Below are 21,489 nucleotides of genomic sequence, written 5' to 3' on the forward strand. Positions count from 1 at the left end.
AAGACCCTGACTCCAAACACTGTCACATTCTGAGGTCTTGGGGGTTAGGGCTTCAACAGGTGACTTTAGTGGGGAGCAATTCGGCTCCAGCATAGCAAATATGGGATGTGAATGCTCATTGTTGCCGGTAACGCTCACGTGGATGGCATGAGTGAGGTGGTGTCTGCCAGATGAACCCACTGTAAAGGGATGGTTTTCCCCTTTGCCTAGAATAAATATCTTGGTGGTGGGGAGATACCGTGAAACTACACAACCTTCCTTCAGCTCATCTTCCTTCATGAATTTCTACATTTTGATTGCTCTTGCCTGCAAAAATTTTGACTGTAATGTTTGCCTAATGATGACTTTCTATTTCCACCATTCCTTCTGCATTTATTAATTGGAATTCTGTGATAAGTACAAACCGTGATTTATTTATTCAGTTGCTGGTGTTGCTATGACTCAGGGGTACTATTTCATCCCACAGGGCGCTGTCCGGCTCTATCATTACGGATTCTGTTGCTCCCGTTGTCGCGGCCGTGACCGTCGGGAGCTCTGTCCAGTTGGTTTCTGCCTCCTTTGATGCCTCCCTCATTTTCTGAGTCCCTCCTTACATTCAGGCATTAAAGATATGCTGGGCTCATGGAATCGGCTCTTTCCCTAAGGAGCCCTGGTGCCTTTGGTTGGAGAATGGCGTTTAGAAAGCAGGATTAGGGACAGGCGTGCTCATTTCTGCTGGAGCGTCACTGTTCTCAGTCCTCTCTCGGTGGACAGAGCCGGGAAATCTGTGTGTGTGTGCTCTCAGAAGCACACGCATGCACCTGCATCTTCCTGCATTTTTCTGTGTGTCTGTATGTGTGTCTGTGTTGCAAACTAGGATTGCATTCTGATACCTGTTTCTGGTCTAAGACTGTGGGATTCATTTAGCCTTTCCTTGTATGTTCTTCTTTCTCCCAAAGTAGGAAACCTGTCTCTCATTATTCTCAATAATTTTATTTGTATAAATGTGCTGCACACACAGGTTCAGAATTGCTAACCCACACCCTTGTGGGAAACGTATGTCCTGATGAGGGGACAGTGTTTGTTCCCACCCTCTCTGCTTTTAGCCTTACACCATGTAGTTAAGATACCATTTCTCTGCGTTCCATAGCTGGCTCCTTTCTTCTGCCTCCCTTCCTGTAGTGTCACTTAGAACACAGTCAAGTTCATCTGCTGTCACTGGTACTCTCTTCTGGGTCCCCCACAGGTTGGTTGATTTTCAGTGTTGATGTATTTGAGGGGTATGTGAACCATCGTGTGGTTCTGAAGGCTTCCTCCGAGCCACGGCGCACCCCCGCTCTGTCTCCATCCTCCATTCCCTGCACCCTGTTCCCACCCACTTCCCCAGGTAAGCCGGTCCCATTCGTGTGTGTGTGTGTTTTGTATCTCTTTTGTGCCAAATGAACAGATACATGTACTTTTTAAATAGCCCCTTCTGTCTCCTGTGAAGGGTGGTATACCATAGAAACTCTTTGGTACTCAGTTTATCCTGGAAGTCACTCCAAACCCATCCGCAGAGGCCTTCCAGCTTCTCAGCTGCGCAGAGCCCCACTGTGTGGGTTTACTGAACCATCGCCGGCTTATTCAGCTCATCTCCTACTCATGGGCATTTAAGTTGTTACCCATATTTTGTATAAATAACTTGTTGCAGCAAATGACCCTGTGAACCTGCATATTCCTGCAGTGGGCGGTCCAGCCTCTGTTCTGGAAACCCAGAAAGTTTCTATTTACCTGCAGATGGACCTTCTTCTTCCCCTTATGTTGACCCTCGGGCAGTGTTGAGGGGCAATGAAGTGACAAACAGCAGGGAGAAAATGACCAGTCTCTGCAAATAGACAACTCAGAATGGTCCCCAGCTAGCCGCCTTCTGCTCCTGACCCTGGTGTGTGGATTTAAGTCATTTCTGAAGATTCAACCTGATGAGCTGTCGACCACAGATGAAGACAGAACGGATCTGAGAGATGAATGATGTATCTGGGGTTAGCATCTGGATGATCCGAGTAATGGTTTTGGGAGAGGCAAAGCCTAGAATTAGCCACCCCTGAGGGACAGTGCTTTCCTGCCCCCGGCAGAGCGGCCTGGGGGGAGTTGTGCAGGAAGCAGGTGCAGGCAGCCCCGCTGGCCGGGTCACTGGGGTTCTCTGTGACGTCAGGGTCAGAGAGGCCCACATGGAGGGCTGGAGCCTGGTGCTGGTGCCTGATGGCTAGCTCCTCAGTGTGCTGGCTTTCCTGGCAGAGGGGAGGTCGAGCGTGGCTTCTAGTGGTCCCTAAAGCCACCAGGGTTTCCAGTGTGGCTGGTGCTGCAGCAGACCCAACCGAGCATCCTGTGTGTTTTGGAAACATTTCAGTCATGTTCCGGTCAGTGATAGATTGCGTATACCACAGTGGTCCCATCAGACTGTAAGACCAGATTTTCCCTGTACCTCATCTATGTTTTGATGTATTTCAATGCACAGATCCTTCCCATTGTGTTACAGCCGCTGGCAGCATTCAGTACAGTAGTGGGCACAGTTTGTAGCCTAGGAGCAATAGGCTACTCCATACAGCCAGGTGTGTGGTGGACTGCGTCGTCTAGCTTTGTGTAAGTCCCCTCTGTGATGTTCACAGCACGATGAAATCGCCTAATGATGCATTTTCACAATGTGTCCTTGTCATTAAGTGATGCAAGACTGTACTCCTTTTCCTTGAGGCACCATTCAGGCCTCCCAGACACGAGAAGGGAGCAATGGGAAGGGAGCAATGCAGCAGGCGTGTCTGTGTGAGAAGCTCGGGCAGGGCTCTCCGGGCCATTTTCTCACTGGTCCTGAGGCCTGCTGGCTGTGGCCCGAGGGCAGGGACGGCATGGTGGCCTGGGGGAACCGTCTCTGCAGGCACTTCTCACCTCCCGGCTCCAGTGAATTACAGGCCCTGTGGGGCTTGATGCCGTGGATGGAAGTTTTGTAGAAGGCCATGTTTGTGTCTTCTGTGAAGTATGAAAGGTGCCAGTTTGAAAACCAGAGAAAAAGAAAGCGTGGATTAAAATGCAGTCCCCGTTTTAATGGTTGGTTACTGCAGTTATTTTTAAAAAAAGAAAGTGTTTGAATAAGGAATCCTGTCTTGAAGAGAGGTGGAGAGGAATTTTTATCATACCGAAAGAGGATGGTAATTAAGGCTTGTCTTAGCCAAGCGTTCTCTAGGGTTTTGGGGTTTTTCTTTTGAAGGTTGCTTTTATATTTCTGAGGATGTTGCGGGGGCCTGCTCTTCTAAGTTAAAGTGATTTGTCTGATGGGAAGATTTCCCCTGGCGGCACTCTGTCACGGGCCGTGAGGAGGAGGTGAACTCAGAAGAGAGTCACACATTTGTCCCCCACATCGTTGTCAGGGAACCGTGACATGGAGGCTGCAGGAATTTTCTCCCAACATGGGCTGAGGTCTTGAGGCCCGAGGCTGAGATGCCTTCTTTTCTTTTTTTTTTTTTTTGATACAGAGTCTTGCTCTGTCATCCGGGCTGGAGTGCAATGGCACGATCTCGGCTCACTGCAACTTCTACCTCCTGGGTTCAAGCAATTCTCCTGCCTCAGCCTCCTGAGTAGCTGGGATTACGGGCATGCTCCCTGCTAATTTTTGTAATTTTAGTAGTGACAGGGTTTCACCGTGTTGTTCAGGCTGGTCTCGAACTCCTGGCCTCAAGTGATCCATCCACCTCCGTCTCCCAAAGTGCTGGGATTACAGGCGTGGGCCACTGTGCCTGGCCTGAGATACCTTCTTTTGCTGGCACAGAATGGGGTGCAAGCTCCCCAGGGTGTGAGGGACAGAGTTGCAGGCCCATCCTGGAGGCTCTGAGGGGGCACCTGGTAAAGCCTGGGGGTGAGGCTGGGCACTCCACATGCCCCAGGGCTGCACCACGGAAGCCCACGGAGGTCCTGGGACACGTGACTGTGTCACTGTGCCCGGTTCATGTCAATTGCGCCAGTGCCATCAGTGTGTCTGGGCCCTCAGGCTGCAGAGGGCAAGTGGGAATGGTCAGTGAGGTGTCATCTGTGCTTCTCCCCTGCTGGGGAGCCTGCACTCTACAGACAAACGGGGCAGCCGCGGGTGTGGCTGGGCCATGGACTGTGTCTCAGTGGACTGTGTCTCAGGGCACAGACCCTGCTTCCAGCCTTTCCCGGTGCCCTCCAGAGGGCTGGGTGGCCTCATTACTCCTGCCCTTCTGAGCTGGATGGAATCCCTTATTCTCCCAAAGGGCTCATTTTAATGTCTGCGGGGGGGCGGGAGTCCTTTGCCACTGACGTCAGCCCTTTGCCACTGACGTCAGCAATCGTCTGTCCGATCTCTCAGGGCATTGGAAGGGAGTGAGCTCCAGAGCACTTCCTGACCGCGTGGAGCCGAGCTCCGGAGCGCTTTCTGACCGTGTGGAGCTCCAGCGTCCATGTCACCCCGGAACAGAGGAGGTTCCCAGGCATAGAGTGGAATCCAGACTTTGGCCTTTTGAAGTTGGCTTGTGTTTCTGGGGCTTAATCTTCCAAGGGAACTGGTTCTGCTGTGTTGAGATGCATTGGTGTTGGGGCACTGTGGCTGTGGGGCTGGCCTGGGCATTGCAGGGAGGGTGTGGAGCAGCATCCCTGGCCTCTACCCACTTGATGCCAGCAGCCCCTCCCCAGGTTTGACAACTAGATACGTCTCTAGGCATCGCCAATATACCCGGGAGACTCCCAGGTGAGAGTCTCCCAGGGGATATTGCAGTGTTCACGGCTGGATGCTACTCGTCACTATTCCATATTCCATTATATGAATAGGCCACCGCTGACTCGTCCTTGTAACCATAATTTGGCTGTTTCCAGTTGCGGACTATTACACACAGTCACTTTCCTGTGCTTCTCAGATTCAGAACCATATTTGAGGGAGATGAAAGCAGGCGGGTGGCTTCTCTTGGAGGCAGGTACTTTCTCGTAGGGATTGTGGCACACAGCTGTTATTTCTCTAGGATTTGCTGTGAATGAGGGAAAAACGGTTGATTGTGAATGAAGCAAGGTTCATTTTCTTCCCATGGTCATTCCTTGGTGCACTGTAGATCCAGGATATTCCTACTCTGCAGGCTGTTTAAATAACACACACACACGCACACACATGCACACACACATAGCCAAACATCGTTTGAAATCCCATCCCTCAGAGATGACCAGTGTCAACATTGTGGTGACTTCTTTCGGGGCTTCTCTAGGTGTGTGTGTGTGTGCACACAATTTTATATAAATGGGGTTCTGCTATCCGTGCCGTTTCGCAGCTTCAGTTTTTAAATTTACCATGTCTATATTTCCGTGCCAGTAGCTCAGACTGTATCATCATTCTCACGGCTGCTTAATAGTCTACGTTTGTCATCCTGCTGGTGTGCGTCTGGCTTCGGGTTTGCATTCTCACAATGCTGTAATGAATCTTCTGTGTTCTTGCTGGGTTATCTCTGTAGGATGAATTCTCAGAGGTAGAATTGCTCTGTTAAATGTCTACACATTTTTTTCTCATTTTAAAATTTATTTTGGATGTTTAATCCAGATCTGTGTTTATTTACTGAGGGGAGCAGGTAGAATTGTAGAGTCACAGAGAAACAAATTAGAGCTAGGGGTTCAGGGTTACTCAGACCAAACTTCTCATCACCCTGCATCCCCCTGCCAGCCATGTTTTAAAAGCAAACGTGTTATTGGAGTATAACATGCCTGCAGAAAAGCACGTATATGTGTGTATGGTATGACAGTTTTTACAAAGCGAACATACCCAAGAAATCACCCCTCAGGTCAAGAAGCAGCACACGGCCAGCACCATGGAATGCCTTTTCCAGACGCCAGCAGAACAGAGCTGCCGGATGTTCTAGTGAGCGCGTTTCTGCTGGTGAACCTGACTGTGCCCTTCTTTGTGGGATCTGCCCAGGATGGCGTCGCTGGGTCGAGGGGCATGTTCAGCATGAACAGCTGGTGCCCGGTGCCTTCTCCAGAGCGGGCACTGGTTCACTCTCCCCTTGGCAGAGCGTGAGAAGCCCAGTGTCCAGCATTGGGTGTGGCCCGTCTTTTCCAGGTCCGCCATTCTGGTGGCTAATGTTGTCTCATTCTGTTTTTTATTTGCTTTTCTTGAATGATGTTGGTGACCTTTTTATGTTTATTGGATATCAATATCCTTTTAAAAAAATCTACTCAAGACTTCTGCTCATTTTTCTGTTGTGCTGTTTGCTTTTCTTTCTTACTGATTTTTTAAGGAGTTTTTGTGTATTTTGAGTATGAGTCATTTGTTTGATATACGTATTGCAAATATCTCTTACACGGGGTCTTCCCTTTTGACTTCGATGGTGTCTGCTGGTGGACAGCAGTTTTCAACGTCAGTGCAGTCCGGTTTATCAAGCTCTTCTGTATTCAGTGCTTTTATGTCTTGGTGGAGGAATCCTGCCTAACCCGAGGCCATGAAAGTAGTTTCCTGTGTTACCTGGAACATTTGTTGTTTTCACTTTCGTGTTTGGGCCTGTGGTCCTTCTCTGCTTGTTTCTGTGTCTGCAGTGCAGTAGGGGTTGAGACTGACCACTGTCCCCAGACGGATATGTAATTTACCCAGCTCCACGTGTGGGAAGACCAACCTCTCCCCTAGTGCTGTGGTGCCGCCTTTGCCGTCAGTCACGGGAGGGGCGACGTGGCTGTTTCTGGACTCTGCTCTGTCCGTCATCCCATTTGCATGCCGGTACGATTGCAACTGCCACGTCCTATGCCAAGGCCTGAGACCGGCTCGTGTAAACCCTCCAGCTTGTTATTCCAGGCGGCCTCGGCTATTTTTGGTGAGACGCATTTAAAAATTTGATGCGCGTCGTGAAACTGCCCTTCAGAAAGGTCGTAACCATTTATCCAGCCATGGGTGGGGCTCGGCAGTGCCGCCTCTCCCACGCCATTGCAGACTCTGATGCACAGGAAGTCACACCTGGTTGTCATTCATAGCTGCGTAGCTTTGGTTATTGGTGAGGCTTCCTAAGTGAACTGGCCATCTGCATTTTTCTTTATGTTGTAACCACCTTCTTTCCTGATTTCTCCAGTGGAGTGTTTGTTTTGTTAGTGACTTCTGAGAGCTCTCGATGTAGTTCCAACGTTAACTCATTGCCTGCTGCTGTAATCTACCAGGCTTATTTTTATATTGACTATTATAGTCAGTGCGGATGAACACTTGAACCTGCAGTGCGAATCCGTTCCCCTGACCCCAGCCTCTGTGCCTCCCCCTCCTCTGCTCCTGCCTCCCTCTGTCAAGATCCTTGGGATCACACTGGATACATGTGGCTAATCCAGGATCACCTCCCACCTCCAGACGTTTAATTTACCCACATCAGAAAGGTCCCTTTTGCCATGTAAAGTGACATTCCCAGGCTCTGGGGTTAGGTTGTGGGACTCTCGTACGGTGACATTCCCAGGCTCTGGGATTAGGTTGTGGACCCCTCGTTCGGTGACATTCCCAGGCTCTGGGGTTAGGTTGTGGACCCCTCATGTGGTGACATTCCCAGGCTCTGGGGTTAGGTTGTGGACCCGTCGTAGGTGACATTCCCAGGCTCTGGGGTTAGGTTATGGACCCCTCGTATGGTGACATTCCCAGGCTCTGGGATTAGGTTGTGGACCCCTCGTTCGGTGACATTCCCAGGCTCTGGGGTTAGGTTGTGGACCCCTTGTTCGGTGACATTCCCAGGCTCTGGGGTTAGGTTGTGGACCCCTCTTAACGGTGACATTCCCAGGCTCTGGGATTAGGTTGCGGACCCCTCGTTCGGTGACATTCCCAGGCTCTGGGATTAGGTTGTGGACCCCTCGTTCGGTGACATTCCCAGGCTCTGGGGTTAGGTTGTGGACCCCTCGTTCAGTGACATTCCCAGGCTCTGGGGTTAGGTTGTGGACCCCTCTTATGGTAACATTCCCAGGCTCTGGGGTTAGGATGTGGACCCCTCTTATGGTGACATTTCCAGGCTCTGGGGTTAGGTTGTGGACCCGTCGTAGGTGACATTCCCAGGCTCTGGGGTTAGGTTGTGGACCCTTCATACGGTGACATTCCCAGGCTCTGGGGTTAGGTTGTGGACCCGTCGTATGGTGACATTCCCAGGCTCTGGGGTTAGGTTGTGGACCCGTCGTAGGTGACATTCCCAGGCTCTGGGGTTAGGTTGTGGACCCGTCGTAGGTGACATTCCCAGGCTCTGGGGTTAGGTTGTGGACCCCTCTGGTGGAGGGTGGGGATTGTGTTTTGTCAGCTGCAGAGGGTAAATTAAGAATCTGTGGGGAGCCCTTCCAGACTGTGCCGCTGAAATTGTTGGGGCAGTGGCTCTATCTCCGAGAATGCAGCTAGATCTCAGAATGCATCCCCAACGTTGCAGCGTGCGCAGGCCCTTCCTCCTGAGGGCACCCACCTTGGTGAATGGGATTTTCTGTATCCAGTTGTCTCTGCTCCAGTTGATGTGGCAGACACAGGGTCAGACAGAAGCTTGCTGGACATCGTCCCTCCCCTGAGGCCAAGGCCGGACGAGGGGTCTCTTCAGCTGCACATCGGGGCAGGTGAGGGGTGTCAGCCACGTCCCGGGGAATAGTAGCCTGCCCACCTCAGCAGAATGGCGAACTCGCTTTCCCGTGGCCTTTGGCATCTGTAGCGTGGATGCCATGGAGTGTGGCGCGTGACACCTCAATGTGGCACACTGAGACTGTAAAGAACAGAAGACACCAGTACTTTAACCCGCGGCTGAGGGCTCATCGCTTTGAATACGCCGGGGTGTGCAGAGCACAGGTCAGCTATTGTGTAGGAGAGACACTGAGCCGCATCTGCAGCCTGTTGTTCTGGGGTCGCCTTGGTTACAGCCACCTCTGTCACAATGTGCAGTGTGTCGGAGTCTCCTTCCAGAGGAGCACTCGCCCACAGCCAGGGCCCCCACCGAGGGCCGCTCTTTTCACCAGGGTTTCTGAACAGGCCACATGGGAGCCCGGAACGCAGGAAGGGCAACACCTCATCCCAACTCACCACACTGGGCCCCGGGGAGCCAGGGGCTGGGCGGTCTCAACTCTGAGCTCCACTGCCGGAAGCTCTGCTGCCTTGGGGGGTCCTGTCGAAGCTGCTCCCTGCCTCCCACCCTCCCTTCCTGCGCCATGTCATTTGTTGGGGGCTCTGACAGCGGAGCCCACTCACGTCTGGGGCAGCCTTGGGTACTGCGTGCTGCCCTGGTGCGGCTCAAACACTGGACGGTGGCCTTCATCCCTTTAGGCCTGGCTTAGCCTCTTGCAGGTCTGAGCCCAGGTGCAGGAGAATTCGGGGAGACTGTGGGGCATGACTGGAATGGGGTGAGTTCTGACCTGTTGCTGGGATGACCATTTACACAGCTTGAGACATAAATGCAGTCCCTCACCCATGCGGTTCTGTCGACGAGTCACCCATTGCTCACAGCTTCTCAGATTTGCGTTTGTCGGTGGTTTTCCCAAGGTTCCAGGATTAGCAAACACGGCCCCCCCACCCTTCCTTCAGGCCTGGTCTTAAACCAGGTCACCCACCTGCCCCTCCCCTTGAGGCTGCAGGAGTTCTGGGGCCCCTCTCCACCATCCCATTGTACTGGACCCCCAGGGCCACCTCCATGGATCTCTGTGTCTTTGATTCTTGTGCCCCCAGGGTTGGGCCTGGGTGTCAACACCTTGTCTCCCCAAAACCTCAGGAAGTGACTTGGCTTCTCCCCAGGGGCCAGCTCTGCATACCAAACATCCGGGTCACTTCTGCCAACACTCGGAAACCCTGAGAGGTGTCATTGCCTCGTCCCCGCACATGCCAGGTGCCTACCTGCCTTCCCTGTGGGAAGCTGGGGAGCCATTTGTGTCTGTTTGGTGAACTGCTGCCCCGGAAGGGAGGCCTTCAGATGAACCAGCCTGACTTCTCTCCTATCGCAGCCTCCACCCTTGGCTCTGGGGTTCCTGCCGCTGTGCCCCACAGATAGAGGGGGTGACATTGCTTTCCAAAATGCAGCCCTTAGCCCTGAGACACAGCCCAAATGTCCTTCTCCAAGTGTCAGGCACCAGCTCCAACCCTGTCCCCCGCAAGGGGCACACAGGGCTCCCCCAGGCTCTACTGAAGCCCTCTCCTAGGCTACACAGGCATTCAGTAGGCGGCAGACGTTCCCTCTCCACCCTGGCGGTGGAGGCAGAGCTCACAAAACAGCTCTATTCAAAGACAGTCTCACAGGTCCACAGCTTATTGTGCCACTCGCGACCCCGCCTAGATCCTCCACGAGCACGAATCATCTCACGGGTTCTGACGCCTGCTTTGAAAATTCAGCGTAGTAGGAGGTTTCACAACTCACTTTGGTACCCTGGAAGTACATGCGATGCCTCCGCTGACACGTCCCCCACCGCTGTGTGGCCTTTTCCCCGAGTGTTCTTGCTGCAGGCCCGGGTGCCAGCACCTGCACACGAACTCTCGGCTGCCCTCTTAGGACAGCAGTGAGCGGAGAGGGCTCTGCAGCTCCACGTGGTTGCTCACTGTGCTTCCTCCAGGGCCCCTCTGCTTCCTCTCCCTATGGTGGGGCAGTGACGATTATGCTTATTAGAGAAATCACCACCCCGTCACAGAGATGACATTTATTAGAGAAATCGCCACCCCATCACAGAGATGACGTTTATTAGAGAAATCGCCACCCCGTCACAGAGGTGACGCTTATTAGAGAAATCGCCACCCCGTCACAGAGGTGACGCTTATTAGAGAAATCGCCACCCCGTCACAGAGGTGACGCTTATTAGAGAAATCGCCACCCCGTCACAGAGGTGACGCTTATTAGAGAAATCGCCACCCCGTCACAGAGGTGACGCTTATTAGAGAAATCGCCACCCCGTCACAGAGGTGACGCTTATTAGAGAAATCGCCACCCCGTCACAGAGGTGACGCTTATTAGAGAAATCGCCACCCCGTCACAGAGACCACTTCATTTGCAGCTTCCTCTCCTCCCGAGCTAAATGGCGCGCGACGAGCCCCGCCCTGCCCTCCAGGACATTCATGGCTCGTGCCAGGCAGTGCCCTGGGTCTCCTGCATGCCCACCCTCCGTGTGCAGACCAGGCTGGCCCTGCCCGAGCTCTTTTTTTGTGCGGGCAGGGCCGTTGGGTGGGTCCCCTGTAGCTGTGTCCAGATGGGATTGTCTTGTTTTTGTGTGGCAGGGGCTGGGGTGGGGTGGGAAGGAAGGACTTCCAGGCCGGAGGGGTTTCTAGAGCTGGTCATTGCTGGGGCCAGGGTGCCCTTCCATCATGCACCCCACAAGCACTGCCCAAGCACCACATCTGTGCTCAGCACCGTCAGAGCCCTGGAGGCACAGTGAGCAGGACAGGCGTCCACATGCGGCCTTCCTTCCCGCTCAGAGCGTGGCATGCAGGGTTGGGTTCCTTATGTCTTTTCGGAGCCCCCTGAACGCAGGGAATTCTTGTCCTCTGCTGGGCTGGGTTGCGCAGGTGTGCAGTGACGGAGGCAGCCAGGCAGGTTCTCAGTGAAGACGGGAGTGTGTGTCCCTCTTGCCTTGGCTGACAGGCCTGGGTCCCGGTGGAGTGGACTGGAGCCGGCCCTGGAGGGGCAGGCCGTGGGCCTGGGTGGCCACAGGGGCTTGCAGGGGCACGGGATGTGGTGGTTGCCAGGTCCCTGGAGCAGGTGCCCAACCAGGGCTGCACAGCCGTGTGTCCTCTGTGGTCATTTCCACGGCTGCTGCGTCTGCTAGGGGGAAGCAGCTTCCCTGAGCCGCGTGGGTGAAGGCTGGGGACACGTGGTATCTGCAGGATCTAGGTGTGAGCGTCTGTGCATTTTCACGGCACTCCTGGCAGGACAGAGCTCCACCCTCTGCCAGTCCTCCCCGGGGGATGCCGGCTCCACCTGCAGCTCACGTCCGATTTCCACCGGTACCCATCGTCACCATCACCAGCCTTGCCCCTGGTTTCACTGTCTACCCCGGAGGCCAGCGCCAGCCTCCCAGCCGCCCCCAGCTGCACACAGCAGCCAGAGTAATATTCGACGTGGCCGTCAGGTGGTGTCACCCTGTGCTCGAACCCTCTCGGGGCTTCCTCTGCATTTCAAGTAAGATCTACACGCCCTTCTTCCCCTGCCCACCCTGCCGCACTCTGGGCCACTCCCCGCCCATTCCACTCCGCTCCCGCCATGCGTCTGCCTTGCTCTGCGCCACATCAAGTGCATTCCCACCCCAGGGCCTTTGCACGCCTGTCCTTTTGAATGGAATGCTCTTCCCCCGGGTCCCCGCATGGTTGACACCTTCCCAGAGTCGCCACTGCCGACCTGACTGTCCTCCACTGCCCAGCCCAGCCTCGCCAGCCACTCGCCACATCAGCTGGCTCCTTTTCTTTCCTGGAAGGCGGCACTGTCTTACTTGTGTGTTTGCTTATTCTTTCTTCTTTGTCTCCTTCACTAGAAAGTAAACTCCATGGGGTGGAGGAAGGAAGGGAGGGAGGCAGAGAGAGGGACAGAGAGAGAGAAGAGCAGGAGAGAGAGGGAGTTGGGGAAGAGAGAGGCTGTCATGTTTATTGCTATTTCCTGAGTCTAGAACAGAACCTGGCATATGACAGGGTCTCCATAAACATGTTTGTTGAATGACTGAGGCTAGGACACGGTGGTGGCCCCTCGCTGGGCAGGGTGGGCTTGCCATGTGTCCCCCAGCTCTGGAGAAGGTGGCTCTACCTGAGGCTCTCTCCTTCACCAACCTGGTCACGTCACCTTGGAAATGTCACTGCACCGGCTCCCGCTCCTTAGCCTCCACCTGAACACAGGGCCGCTCTTGCCTGGGGCCTGCAGGACCTCCTCACTGGTGCCCCACGCCTACAGCTGCTCCTCCGCCCCCTTCAGCCCTCCCCTCCACAGCAGGACGAGTGCCTTTTAAAGAAGCAAATCTGGTCACTCCCTCCTCTGCTGTGGAGTCTTCTGGGCCCCTGTCACTCAGAGTGAAGACAGACCCTGACCTGTGACTCACAGCCCTGTGTGGTCAGCCCAGCCTCATCTTGAACCTCTCTCCTCCTCTGTCCGTGCCCTCACCTCCGGGCCTTTGTACACGCTGTCCCCTCTGCCCAGAGCACTCTCCTCCTCCCCTTCCTGGTCGCTCCTGGTCGTCGTCCTGTCTCAGCTCTGCTGCCTCTCCTGGGGCCCTTTCCCAGCGCTCCTGGACCGGGTGGGCTCACCGCGCTGTGTCCTGTCCCTGTGGCTGTAGAGTGCACAATTGCCTCTCCCAGCAGGTGGTGTGCGCCATGCGTTGTGCTTGTCCTGACGTGCACGGCGTGTGCCACACAGTAGGGCCCTTTGCCAACAAGGAAGCTGAGCTTAGAAGCAGCATGAGCTGCTCCGGGTGACACAGCTGGGCAGTCACGCCCCGAGGGGCCCGGAGTTCTGACTGCAAGTGCGACTTCAGTAGCGTCTGTTTTCTACGTAGAATAAATTGAGACTGCAGTCTGCACCTTCAGACCGCCTCTGCATTTTATGCCTCAAGAAGGAAATCCACTGAGCCGAGACACAGCTTCTCTGTGCTTAACTGATGATGGGGTGTTAGCAGCTGCCCCCACACATGATGTCTGGTTGTCTGTTTGAAAATAGAAACAGGGCAGCAGTCAATCACTGACATAGTATGATGTTGTTATTATTTATCGAAGAAACTGTATTATAACAATGTTAATAGGAGCCAAATCAAAAGGAGAAAAATGGATCCATTTTCCTAGATATAGACCTGTTATGCCTTATGCACACAGACATGAACGTTTTATAAGTGGAAATTATAATGTAGATAAAAATGTTATTCTCCTAGTTAATTATTTTCACTATATCTATAAAAGGCAAGATGATTGCTTGGAGATTGATTCACACCCAAGCCAAAACCGAGTCACATTATACCACTACTAAGGTTCTCCTGGTCTCCTTTTTGTTTACCTGCTTTAAAAACAACAAAGCTTATTTGGGTTTAAAAATAAAAAGAAATTAACTTTGGTGAGGCTGCTCCTGTTCCTGGCCCCTTTATATCAGGCCCCTGGAGAGGCATGGGGACAGCAGGGTTCAGCCTTGCAGCGAGTCTTACTCACTGGAGGGGGTTGTACTCACTGGAGGGGGTCTCATTCACGGGAGGCGGGGTCTTAACCACTGCACCGGGTCTTACTGCATCAGGCCTTACTCACTGCAGTGAGTCTCACTCACTGCACTGGGTCTCACTCACTGCACTGGGCCTCACTCACTGCACCGGGTCTTACTGCACTAGGTCTCACTCACTGCCCCAGGCCTTACTCACTGCATGGGGCCTCACTCACTGCACTGGGTCTTACTCACTGCACCAGGGTCTTATTGCATCAGGTCTTACTGCTCCAGGTCTCACTCACTGCCCCAGGCCTTACTCACTGCATGGGGCCTCACTCACTACACCAGGTCTCACTCACTGCACCGGGCCTCACTCACTGCACCAGGCCTCACTTGCTACACTGGGCCTCACTCACTGCATGGGGCCTCACTCACTACACCAGGTCTCACTCACTGCACCGGGCCTCACTCACCGCACCAGGCCTCACTCACTGCACGGGGCCTCACTCACTGCACGGGGCCTCACTCAGTACACCGGGCCTCACTCACTGCACCGGGCCTCACTCACCGCACCGGGCCTCACTCACTGCATGGGGCCTCACTCACTGCACCGGGCCTCACTCACTGCACCGGGCCTCACTCACGGCACTGGGTCTCACTCACTGCCCCGGGTCTCACTCACTGCCCCAGGCCTTACTGCATGGGGCCTCACTCACTACACCAGGTTTCACTCACTGCACTGGGTCTTACTCACTGCACTGAGCCTCACTCACTACACCAGGTCTCAGTCACTGCACTGGGTCTCACTCACAGCAACAGAATCTTACTCACTGCATGGAGCCTCACTCACTGCACCGGGTCTCACTCACTGCACCAGGATCTTACTCACTGCATGGGGCCTCACTCACTGCACCGGGTCTCACTCACTGCACCGGGTCTCACTCACTGCACTGGGCCTCACTCACGGCACCGGGCCTCACTCACTGCACCGGGCCTCACTCACGGCACCGGGCCTCACTCACTGTCCCAGGCCTTACTGCATGGGGCCTCACTCACTACACCAGGTCTCACTCACTGCACTGGGTCTCACTCACTGCACTGAGCCTCACTCACTACACCAGGTCTCAGTCACTGCACTGGGTCTCACTCACTGCACCAGGATCTTACTCACTGCATGGGGCCTCACTCACTGCACCGGGCCTCACTCACTGCACTGGGTCTTACTCACTGCACTGGGGTCTCACTCACTACACCAGGTCTCAGTCACTGCACTGGGTCTCACTGCACCAGGATCTTACTCACTGCATGGGGCCTCACTCACTGCACCGGGCCTCACTCACTGCACTGGGTCTTACTCATTGCACTGGGTCTCACTCACTACACCAGGTCTCAGTCACTGCACTGGGTCTCACTCACTGCACCAGGATCTTACTGCATGGGGCCGCACTCACTGCACCGGGTCTCACTCACTGCACCAGGATCTTACTCACTGCATGGGGCCTCACTCACTGCACCGGGTCTCACTCACTGCACTGGGTCTTACTCATTGCACTGGGTCTCACTCACTACACCAGGTCTCAGTCACTGCACTGGGTCTCACTCACTGCACCAGGATCTTACTGCATGGGGCCGCACTCACTGCACCGGGTCTCACTCACTGCACCAGGATCTTACTCACTGCATGGGGCCTCACTCACTGCACCGGGTCTCACTCACTGCACCAGGATCTTACTCACCGCACTGAGCCTCACTCACCACACCGGGTCTCACTGCACCAGGATCTTACTCACTGCATGGGGCCTCACTCACTGCACCGGGCCCCACTCACTGCACTGGGTCTTACTCACTGCACTGGGGTCTCACTCACTGCATGGAGCCTCACTCACTACACCAGGCCTCACTCACTGCACCGGGTCTCACTCACTACACCAGTTCTCACTGCACTGGGTCTTACTCACTACACTGGGTCTCACTCACTGCATCATTTGGGGGTTTGGCCCCTTTCTGCTGATTTTTGCTCTAACTGTTGAGACGTGTGGGGACCATCACCAGGCCCCTGTGGAGGGGTTCAGATGACCCAGCAGTCTGGAAGCCCTGGACTTCCCCCATCCACATAGCCCAGTGTCTCCACAGTGCCGGGAGGGCCTGTGCGCTGAGCCAGGGCAGGTGGCAGATGGCGCAGGGCAGCCATGTGTTAGAATTCCTCTCAACCTTCAAACCTGCATCTCGCCTGCCTGCCACCTCCGGGTTGTTAGGCATCCACTCTGGTTTGGTATCGCAGAGCCGACACTCCTCCCACAAGGGAACGAGCCCTGCTTATTCCCACCCAGGCCCATCCAGCTGAGAGCATCTTTCTTCTCTGTGACTGGGGCCAGACAACAGAGGGGCCGATACTACAGTCGGGGGGCAGACATGGCAAGTGGAAATGCCCCTGGGGCTCAGCCACTGGAGTGGCCCACAGTGTGGGGTAGGTGGACACTCATCAGCACGGGCTGTTTCCTCATGGCTGGAGGCAGAGGTGATGGAGGGGCAACCTGCCTCTGACTCTGCCACGAGAGCACAGCCGGGGTGCAGGTGAGGGGGACGGCAGTGACAGGTAGGCTGACCTTTGACATCAGGGTCAGAAGCAAACCTGATGTGATGGGTCCCCTAGACCCGTCCTGTCCCCCAACCTGCTGATTTTCCCAGAAGAACTGTTTGCCTGAAACTTCTGATTTTTAAATAATTGCAAAACATAAAAGGGAAAAGACTAGGTCGCAGGCCGACACCTGGGGCAGATGGAGCAGGGTGGTTACGGCCTCGAGTGGAGGAGGGAGCAAGGCTGTCCCCCTAGGGAGGAGGAAGCCTATGGTCATCTCCCCAGAGCCTCTCCAGGCCAAGCTCAGAGGGAACTGCCTGCGGGAGAGGCCAGGAAACTGCTGAGTCTAGTCCTCTGTCGAAGGCCCCGAGCTGTGTGCGGAGCAGGAACGCATGGAGCCTGTGCTCCTCCAGGCCACTGCCCGCTGAGCCGGGACGGTGCGGAGAGTCCTGTGCTCCTCCAGCCACTGCCCACTGAGCCGGGACGGTGCGGAGAGCCCTGTGCTCCTCCAGCCACTGCCCGCTGAGCCGGGACGGTGCGGAGAGCCCTGTGCTCCTGGCCCCTGCAGGCTCCAGCTCAGCCCCCAGTCCCACCAGGACCCTCACGGGGTGACCCTTTCAACGCCGGGGAAATGGGGGAAAAGCCAGCTCAGCCTGAGAGGAGGGTTTCCATAAAAATAGATTTCCCGGTCTAGACCATCTTCGGTCATTATTCAGAAAGTTGTGAAAAAGTCACACAGAGTTCACGATGGCCGTGCCTGAGATGGAAAGATTGTTCAAAGACAAATGAGTCCTGTTCCCTGCAGGGAGCTCTGACAAGGGACAGCTCTGAACATCTGGTCCTGGAGGCTGGCTGTGTGGACTCTGAGGGGGTCACTTGTTTGTTGAAGGCTTTCCTCTCTGAGTGCTTTGCCGTTTCAAACATGGGGCGCACCCACCCGAACCCAACCCTGGGGCGCCTTGGCTGGGGTGGCACTCCCTGGAGGAGGGTGGCTGGTCCACGCCCCTGCCGCTAAGCCCAGGCTCACGCTGGGAAAGGGCCCAGACTCAGCTGGGCCCAAACAGGGCTTTCTGCTTTAAAATAATGAATTACTTGCAGACATTTCAAAGCTGGGAGATGCCACATAAAAACCTGGAGTTCTATGTTCCCTTGGCAAATAGAGGATCTGAGAAGGTGCTGCCGGCCAGCTGTGCTGGTGGCCCTGCCGGCGGTCCCTGAGGCCGGCGCAGATAGGATCATTCTGTCCCTGTTTTATGAACAAAACAGACACCAAGGGCCACAGAGGGACCTGGCTGCTCTGTTTCCAGAGCCCCACCCCACCAGCGGCACCCTCAGGCATGACCTTCCCGGCCCCTGTAGGAGCCTGAGTTTGAGACCCATGAACTGGCTCCTGCTCCCAGGGGCCGCTTTATTGTATCTCTGATGCTTTTTCCCAGGAGTCTGGAGGAGATGAATGGGGTTTGTCATTAACAGGACAGGGATTTGAGGTGTTTTGTCAACCAGACGTGCAACTGGTGCGGAGAAGTCAGTGGCTTCCTCCTCTCCCTCCTGCTCTTCATCCTCCCCTTCTTCTCCTTATTCAGAAGGAGCTGACATTCTCTTATTAAAAAGAACACAGGGTGAATCATGGTTTTGATGTGTGGTTACATATGTTTATACATTAAAGTAAATGTATATTATTTCTTAAGGGCAAAGTCTTAAGCAGTAATCTCCATAAAATCATGTGTTTGGTACACCCTTTTAAAAATGCATTATATACTTAACTATTAAACAAAATACTCACACGCTTCTCATACTTGCAGGGACCTAGGATCGTCCTGTGAGCACCACCGTGGGCAGCCTGCCCCTTGAGCCAGGGCAGGGAACTAATAGAGGCCTGGGCCGGGCAGCTCAGAAACAGCCCCAGGTGCACACCTAGGTGAACTGTGATTTTGGGGTAAACCACCCGCCCTCCAGAGCTGCCTTGTTATCTGTAAGACAGGGATAGAACAACCTTGTGTGTGCCAGCCTCAGGGGCTGCTGGCTGCCAGATCGCATGCGACAGTCATTTGGGAAACGGCAGGCTTGCTCGCTCTTGGACCGGAGCCTGCCGGGCAGTGGTCTTTGCACCACTCAGCCTGCAGGTGACCCAAACACTGTTTCAGTTTCAAGACAGTGGCCAATATTTACATCAGACGATTCTTACCTTAGCATCAGAATTGCTAGCTTCTTCCTGAAACCTGAACTTCTCGCGGTGCAGGTCTGACCTGCTGTGTGGCAGGACAGTGGGGCTGAATGGTGGCCCCCCCGGAGTTTGCCATCATCCCCACCTGGATGGTCCCTGGGGACATCTGAGTTGTGACCTGTGGTGATGATGCCACCATTTCTCTGATGCCCTCACTTGTCCTGGGGTGAATGTTTCGATGCTCTTACCAGGAAAGGGTAGCAGGGACTTCACTGAGCACAGAAAATCGGGGGTCTTGGTGCTGGCCACTGGCGCAGAGAATGTGGGGAGGCACCCAGAAGGATCCTCCAGGGCCTGGTTCTTGGATGATCTTGTGGAGCCGGAGGGTGTGGGTGGGGGATGTGGGTGCAAAGGAGCTGCAGAGGATACCAGCCCTGGAAGGAGGAAGTTGTCTGGGGAGAAGAAGAGCAGGTGTGGACAGGGCAGAGGTCCGCCCTTTCCCTGTCCAGTGGAAAGCCTCGATGGGGAGCTGACCCAGCCACCTGAAGCGGCTTTTGCCTCCCACCCCACCCTTGAGGGTATAACTAGTGACCTTGGCAGGGAGACCGAGACCGAGACCACTTTGTGACCTCCGCAGGGAGACGGAGACTGTGGTGGCCAGGACAGCATGTATTCAGAATCAAAGAAACAGGAAAGCAAACATCCAGTTATAGCTGGAGAGGAAGGTGTGCAGCTTAATGAGGCTCTGCAGAGACCCAGGGGCTTGGCCATCCACTCAGGGACACCAGGTGCCAGAGTGGACATGTCATGCATGAATCAGGGAGCAGTTCCCGGGGAACACACTGCACGCTGTTGCCGCAGCCTCCCCCTGCCTGGCGCCTCTGCCTGCACCCGCCTGGGAAGCACATTCTCCCTCTTCTGGGGTCTTTGCCCACGTCACATTCCCTCCCCACGGTCCTCCTTTCCTGGGTTATTTTTCTAGATGCCACTGCTGACATTGACATGACCTAGGGTTCCTTTGCAGTCGGGTTTGTTATCCGAGTCCCCCTGCGAGGAGAAGGCGCCGATGACCTAGGGTTCCTTCGCAGTCGGGTTTGTTATCCGAGTCCCCGAGGAGAAGGCACCATGTGTCCTTGGACATTTTATTATCGGCTGCGCCCCAGGCCCCTGCACGGGGCAGTTGCCCAGCAGGTGAGGAAAGGGGGCCACTGCGCCCCAGCTGCCACTTGCCCACAGGGATATTTTTTTACAGAACTGATGATCCAGATTTTTTTGGTAAAGTTATGAACTGTCCCAATTTTTAAAATGTTAGCAAGTGATTCAAAACAGCTTAAGTGCTGAACAGGCCAAACCCAGCCCTTCCATGGGGCCACATCCTGGACCTCCCAGAGCCCTTGGTTGGCATCATCCCGACAAGCCTCCCACTCCCCAGTGAGCCTCAGGTTCCGGAGCCTGCCCAGCGCTACCCCCAGCCCCCTGAGCCGCGTTCTTGCTGCCCCGACACTGATGAGCCAAGAGGAATGTTCCAGAAACAGCCTCATGGTACACAGTAAATATTTGTTGAATGAATGAATGAAGTAGACATAAGAAATTACATGTGAGTTAAAGAAAATCCAGCAGACACCGCTCCTGACTTCATGTCTATACGTCCTCCACTTGAAAACCTTGAGGACTCGTCACTCTCCCAGCTCAGATGTTTGGTTTCTAAAGGAAACTCCCACCAGGTAGCAGCCTTGCTGCTGGCTTCTCCCAGCTCCGTGTTCGGTCCCGGTGGGGTCACAGGCGCTGCGGCTCTGTCTGTCGCAGCCCAGGTGAGCCAGGAGGGGGACGCCGACCTCCAACCCCGGCATGGCGTCTGCAACACAAAGGCTGTTCCTCCTGAGCGTGTGGGAGCAGCATTCGAGCCAGAGTTTGAAATTGATGGCTTTAGGCCAGCAGAATAATTTGATTTAGCTGGCAACAGTTACGAATTGGTTGATTTCACATGAAATCTGCACTAGGGCCTGCGGGCACAGCTGGGCGCATTCCCCAGTGGTAACTGTCGGATTGTCCGCAGCTGAGTGTCTGCCCATGCGAGGCTGCGGCCCTCCCCGCCCTGCGGCCCTGCCAACCTGTGCCCTCCTGGGCAGGGCCCAGCCTGGCCCCTGTGGGCAGGTGAGTTGTTGCCCCTGCTTTCAGCTGGGAGCCTGCAGGCCTCAAGTACATCAACCCAAAGCTGAGCAAAGAGCAAAGTGCAGGGTGGGGTTGGGAGCGAGACAGGCCAGGGTCCTGTGCACCCTGGAGCAGCCCGGCCCGGGGCTGAGCATGCCGTGCATTTTCTCAGATGGCCTCCTGTCCGGGTTCATTGCTTCCTCCCACAGCTCTGGTGAAGAGCTGGGGAGAGGCCTTACTACCTTTCTGCAGATGAGGAAACTGAGACTTGTGGAGGTCCTGTGAGTCCAGACCTGCCACTAAGCACTGGAAACGGGAGTAGGAACCGCATCTTTGGGCCCCTGGACTGACAGGGGTGAAAACCATCCCTTTGGGTGCATACCAGCTCTGGGCTCCTCCAGCAGCCACGCTCACTGCCCTGGCAAAACATGACTTGGCTGTGGGCGTGTGGAACGCACGGCTTTGTCCTTGCAGACACCATGCAGGCCTCTCCCCTGCAGGCTGCGTGTGGGCAGGAGGCTGGCTCTCCTTCTCTA

At 54.8% G+C, this 21,489-nt stretch overlaps 1 protein-coding gene across 16 annotated transcripts in view, besides 1 other annotated feature; it reads left to right on the forward strand.

The window, feature by feature from the left end:
- Window positions 1–21,489, forward strand: part of ADGRD1 (adhesion G protein-coupled receptor D1) — a 187,563-nt gene that overhangs the window by 68,179 nt on the left and 97,895 nt on the right. The window lies entirely within an intron of this gene.
- Window positions 6,249–6,750: an enhancer, noted in NCBI's record as "H3K4me1 hESC enhancer chr12:131512879-131513380 (GRCh37/hg19 assembly coordinates)". NCBI's record gives its function as "activates a minimal SCP1, AML or CMV promoter by ChIP-STARR-seq in naive H9 embryonic stem cells {active_cell/tissue: H9 hESC(naive)}" and the evidence as "EXISTENCE:reporter gene assay evidence [ECO:0000049][PMID:30033119]".

This window comes from Homo sapiens, chromosome 12, assembly GCF_000001405.40.
Source record: "Homo sapiens chromosome 12, GRCh38.p14 Primary Assembly".
In the NCBI taxonomy this organism is placed as follows: Eukaryota; Metazoa; Chordata; class Mammalia; order Primates; family Hominidae; genus Homo; species Homo sapiens.